This window comes from Homo sapiens, chromosome 7 (genome assembly GCF_000001405.40).
Source record: "Homo sapiens chromosome 7, GRCh38.p14 Primary Assembly".
Taxonomy (NCBI): Eukaryota; Metazoa; Chordata; class Mammalia; order Primates; family Hominidae; genus Homo; species Homo sapiens.
In genome coordinates, this window is record NC_000007.14 from 93,906,330 (window position 1) to 93,912,583 (window position 6,254).

Below are 6,254 nucleotides of genomic sequence, written 5' to 3' on the forward strand. Positions count from 1 at the left end.
CATAAAACATAGGTGGAGGGTTTTGGAATTGAAAGTAAGGATTGGAAACCCCAAATTTTACACTATACAAAAGACCAGGGGCAAGGAGGCGCTTTAAGTATTTTAGATTATATACTGACAAAACTCACCCCTCCCAACAAACCTGCTGAACAGGTGTTTGGAGTCAAATGCTTGACTTAATCATATTAGTGAAGATTAGGAAGAAGCTTTAAAATCCCAAGGCTAGTGTGCATTGCTAGAATTGTTAAGAGAGAGAGCTCATATGAAATTGGTTATCGTGGGATATTTAAAATAAAACAAAGAACAGTTTACTTTGTAAGTTAAGAGCTGAGGGAATTGTTGGCTAAGACTGACTTGAAATAACTCCAGCAATTCATGCATAGCTGCTAACCTTCTACATCTTCAGCAGGCAAAAAGATGCCAGTAATCAATATTGAGGACCTGACAGAAAAGGACAAATTGAAGATGGAAGTTGACCAGCTCAAGAAAGAAGTGACACTGGAAAGAATGCTAGTAAGTTGCTGCTTTCTTTAGTATTTTATTTTAAGCTAGAGATACTGTGGGAGTACCAGGTTAGAAAACATTGGCTGGAAAGGCTCAATGTAGTTACAAATAAATTGTTCATCTAAAAATTTATCAAAGATTAAGAAAATTGATAATCAATCATAACTATCTCTTGATTTAGATTCTAAATCAAGGAGGTTGGCAAACCATTTTCCTCTGGCCAAGCCCAATCCTTAGCCTCTTTTTGTATGACCACAAAGATAAGAATGCTTTTTCATTTTTAAAGAGAAGGGAAGAAAGAAAGAAAGAGAGAAAGAAGAGAGAGAGAAAGAAAGGGAAAAAGAAGGAAAGAAAGAAATAAAAGAGAAAGAAAAGAAAAAGAGAAAAAGGAGAATATGAGACAAAAACCATATTTTAGATAAGCAATAAAATAAATATACGCATGCAATAATATAGGCATTTTGTTTTTACTTTTCTAAACTTCTTTTTATAATGCAATATTTTGATATTGATATTTTGATACAATGTTTTGATATTGCTGCAATACTTTAAGCTATGATGTCAACCCCTCTCCACTGTCATGGTCAGTAATACATAAGTACATTCTACTCTTCTTTGGCAAATAAAGATGAGTTCAAACATAAGAACTCACTGGTTCCTCCTACAAACTTCTGACAAATCTTGGAAAGGGTTACCAACAGTTCACTGCCATTAGAAGGAGAAGAAATGGCAAAGGAATAAACCACCAAACAAACAGTGATGAAAGCTTGGAGAATGTAGATATGTATTTTAGATCACTTCATTTTAGGAAAGTTATTAACAGTAGAACAAAACCTCCACAAGTGGTAACAGCAATCTCATAATTTTAAAACATCTCATTTTATCAGGACAAAGTAAAAAAGGATCTTGTGTTATCTTCATACTTTGTTCAAAATGCCTGCTCCCAGTCAAAACTGGGATTTTGGGCTTCGTCTATGTTTATAATAATCTCAAACTCCCCTGTTGCCCTTTCCATACAGGCAAAACGTTTTGCTGTAAAGATAAAATTAAATCATTACTAAGGCTTAGAACATACACCAGACAAGTTAAAGTCCTTATTTTTACAATTCAGGGTAAATAAAATGAACTTTTAGGATAAAGAAAAGTTTTCTCTTCTTAAGTTGAAATATCCAAAAGCTGTTTTATTATTTATGTACTCAGGATTATTGTTTTGTAGGCAAGGTGATTGTCTTCGTGTTTATTATTCACTTGTGGTAAGTTCACCTTGGACTTTTTATTTTGGGTAAACATCGCATACATCATCATTAATCAGGCTTTGGGGTTCCTTTTCCCCATTATTCAATGTCTCTCTGCTCTTGGAAGTCAAACCAATTTAATATCAGACTGCAAAAACTCCATATACATACACACACAAACACACATGCATATAGATACACATACATATACATGTACCCTCTTAGTCTCCTCAGGGTGCTGTACCAGAGTATCATAGACTGGTGACTTTTAACCAACAGAAATGTATTTCTCACAGCTCTGGAAGCTGGGGCATCCAAGATCAAGACATCAGCAGATTCAGCGTCTGGCGAGGGCCTGCTCCCTCCTTCATGAACACCTGTCTTTTCATTTTGTCCTCACCTGGTGATAGGGATGACGAAGCTCTCTGGGGTCTCTTTTATAAGGACGGTAATCCTATTTATGAGAACTCTGTCTTCATGACCTAATTACCTACCAAAAACCCCACCGAGGGAGTTAGGAGTTCAACAAATGAATTTATATAGTGTGTAGAAATATGTATGTAATATATAGAAATATTATTTCTCTATAAAATATATAATAATATGTTATATTATATATAAAATGGAACTTCCAGGTCCTGAGCCCCTAGCTCTGATGTATAATCAGTACAGTATGGTTAAGTGGATATACTCAGTATGGGTAAGTGGTTAAGTGGATAATCAGTACAGTATGGTTAATTGGATATACTCTGAAACCATATTCCCAGCTCAGATTCTTGCTCCACAACAAATTTTTGCCTGTGCAACCCTCATCTATGTTATCTAACTCACCTGTGCCTCTGTTTCTTCAAAATAGCGATAGTAATAGCATTTAATTCAGAGGATAATTGGGAGGAATAAACAAGATAATATACACAAAGCTCTGAGAACAATGCCTGGTAATAGCAAGTGCTTTATGTCATTATATTATTATTATCTTAAAATTATTATTGATTCTATGAACCAGACTGATTCATATTATTGTGATTTTTTTTGAGTACGACAAGTCTTTGCATCCAGTTTCTGAAGCTGATAGATTTGCAATGACTATAAGTCAATGTAATAGGCCATGACTAAAGACAACCTTTGTAGTAATAGCTAAAAATAGTTACTATTTGATTGTGCATCTTCTTGTGCCAGGCACCTCTTAGGCATTTAAGGCAACCAATGCAGCTATTCATATTTTATACATGAAGTAAATGAACCTTAGATGAATTACCTTAACTAAGACTAAATAGCTAGTAAATGAGAAGAGTCTTGCAATCCTATGTTAAACTACATATATTTATATTAAGCATCACTGAAATAATTTTTAAACCTATACACATATATAATTTTAGGTAATTTGTTGCTCCTTTCATTCTCATATCCTCAGATCCCAGCCAGGCACCTTCAAAACCAATCCCTTATGGACTACTGAATTAAGGACAGCAAGTTACACCTCTGTTCCTGTCATCTGGGTGAAGCCAAAAGTAGTGACTTTTAGAGAGAGAGTGTGGGACCACTGAGGAAGAGGGAAAAAAGTGAATCTAAATTAATGCATATTTCAAAAGTTATGTGAATCTGCAAGTATCATCCTTTGAAGGAAGAAACTAACCTGACAAATGCTTCCTGGCTCCAGTTGAAAATAATTTGTTTTACTATGTAATTAATGAGTCTGCCTAGTTATAAAATAATCTTAAGTCTTATATCAAATGTTCCTTGGAATTTACATAAAAGCGGACTAAAGATTTCATTTGAAAAAAAAAAAAACAGTAAATTGGTTAAATGACTTATGGAATGGCCACTTAATAGACTGACAAAAATAAAGTAGCTTAGTGTTACTGTCATGAAAGATACACTAACTGAAAACAAACAAGTTGAAGCTAAAAGAGTTTGAATAATTTGATTTCGTGTGTATGTATATATATGTATATTTATATATGTATAGAACATCACCTCTCTCTACAAGGAATGTTAAGTGGTACCTTAACAGGCTATAGCTGAAGCCATTAAAATATTAAGGCCTGATTTTTTACTAAATCATTAAACAATAATGGTGCAGATAAGTGAAGAGCAAGCTCAAAAACAACATGAATAATTCAGTCCAGCAAATTATTCACTGAGCACTAAAGAACACAGCCTCTGTTCTAGATGGCTGGGATACACTGAACAAATCAGCCAAAGGTCCCTGACCCCTTGAAGCTCACCTAGTGCACCACCATGCTCAATCATTGTAGATGAGTGTAAAGAAAAATTACATGTGTATACTTCTGAGAATTTAGGGATGGTGATAAGCCAGGAATTTAATAATTATTCATTCTCCTCCACCTTTACTAGTCACATTTTTGGGATGAGGAAAAAGATTTAATCAATATGAACTCTGGTGACACCCTTGACTTCTGTTGCCAGCTGTGTTGTGAACCCTGGGTCTTGTCTCCTTTGATGTTGGAGGCAGTGTCTGCTGGGAATCTTTAGCTGGAGTGTGGCCAGCTGTTTTTCCTTTGTCTGGAGATATATCCAGAAGGAGTGGGAAGGGTGCAACTTTCTTCTTTCCTACAAAGTAAATATGCATTGGTGTAAAGTAGAGAGAATCAAACTGAAATTATACAACCTGAAAATTTATTGTAATAAATAAATTCCTGGCATCTGGAGTATTCTGTTTTAAACCAAATGAGTCATCCCTTTTTCCTTCCCCTTAAGGTTTCCAAATGTTGTGAAGAAGTAAGAGATTACGTTGAAGAACGATCTGGCGAGGATCCACTGGTAAAGGGCATCCCAGAGGACAAAAATCCCTTCAAGGAGCTCAAAGGAGGCTGTGTGATTTCATAATACAAACAAAAAGAAAAAAAATTAAACAAATTCTTGGAAATATCTCAAATGTTAATAACAATATGAATTTTTCTCATGCATACTATTACTACTAAGCATGTACGTGAATTTTTAAATTTATAGATGTAAACTTTTAATAAAAATTGGGGTGTGGTAACCCATCATTCTATGTTTTTCTTAACATAGCTGGCACAGGGTTTAACACATAATTGCCAATAAATATTGCTTAAAGTTCTTTAAAAAGAACTATGTTTTATAAATGATTCTATATTATTCTGAGTTGTCAGCATATATTTACTGTTTTATGTTTTTTCACTTCCCTTTCAACACTTACAATTTTCTACCCAGAAATTGTATGGTTAAGTTTCTATTTTGTTTCCCAAACTTTCTCTTGGTTAAGGAATTAGGAAGCTTATTTTTCTGATATGCAGTTCAACTGTCTTGTGACTTTTCCCCAGAATGCCAACTGGGTTGAGGGTTCAGTCTGTGGTCACGGAGCACGGTGAATTTAACCAGCAGCAGAATCACGGTTATAAGCATGCACTTAGGAGCCAGACAGTTCTGGCTCTGCCACTTTACTGCCCAACTCACTTTGGATAAGCTACTTAATTCTTTCTAAATTTGTTTCTCCTAGCATAGGATGAAGACAATAATGGTTATATCTTCTGTTTTGTGTAGGGGTTAAGTAATACACTAATGCAACTATAACACTCAGCATATTACCTGGCCCATGGTAAGATACAATAAGTGTTAACTAGTATTATTACTGAGAAAGGATCTAGACAAAATTTCCAAAATCCTTTAAGATACATGATGTTTTACCCTATCCTCATAAGACTCTCAACACCACAGTCTTTTCTTTAACAAGGTGAGCACACATGAGAGAGAAATCTCCATCCCCTACATCAGGTCCTTCTGGCATCCTATTGAGTTTACATGAGTCACATTTCACTACCATTGTGTTAATGACTAAGAGAAAACTTGCCTCTGCTTCTGTAACAAATGACAAGTTGTAATTACCTAAACCAGAAACCTCTTTTGTGGTCAGTGTTTTCTTGTTGCTGTCTCACATTTACAGTGCTATTTTGTATACTTCAGTGATCAGAATACTCAGAAATACTAATTGATTGTCACACTTTAAAAAAAACATTAAAATTATCTATTATTTGGTCTGGAAGGGAGTCTGAAAGTTGTACCAAAGTTTGGCTTCTAGCACAATGCCCTCCCACTCTGATCATCATAAATGCTCAACAAATATCTGTTGACTCTTGTCTAAACTCTTCATTTTGAAATGGAGAAAATAAAGTTTCAGAGAAGTCACCTGACAAATTTCTTCAGTCAAGACTCTGGGCTTCTGGCTGAAGAGTCAGCAACACACCCCACCACGTGTCTTCATCAAATATGCTCTGAGTATTAAGGGATTCTGGGATTAGTTACTGAATGTCTTATCTATTTTTCCTCAAGAAAAGCTTTTTATCCTCCTATTTAAGTTTACAAAACCCTCTCCATACAGTCCTCCCAACCTCCACCAAGCAATTCCTGTCTCTCTCTCGCACTCTATTTTCCTCCGTAGCACCGTCACCATCTGGCATACTACAATTTATTTGTTTATTTAATTGTGGTTTGCCTCTAGAAGTTTTCCACCTGCAAATTAGTATTTATTTA

At 35.1% G+C, this 6,254-nt stretch overlaps 1 protein-coding gene across 2 annotated transcripts; it reads left to right on the forward strand.

The window, feature by feature from the left end:
* Positions 238-4,936, forward strand: GNGT1 (G protein subunit gamma transducin 1). 2 transcript variants are annotated; one of them, NM_021955.5, is made up of 3 exons: positions 238-315; positions 407-513; positions 4,461-4,936. In NM_021955.5, the coding sequence occupies exons 2-3, from the start codon at positions 418-420 to the stop codon at positions 4,587-4,589; spliced, it is 225 nt and encodes a 74-aa protein (NP_068774.1). In that variant the 5' UTR covers positions 238-315; positions 407-417; the 3' UTR covers positions 4,590-4,936. The 2 variants fall into 2 exon arrangements, with proteins under 2 accessions (NP_068774.1, NP_001316355.1); NM_001329426.2 differs by having other exon boundaries at positions 410-513.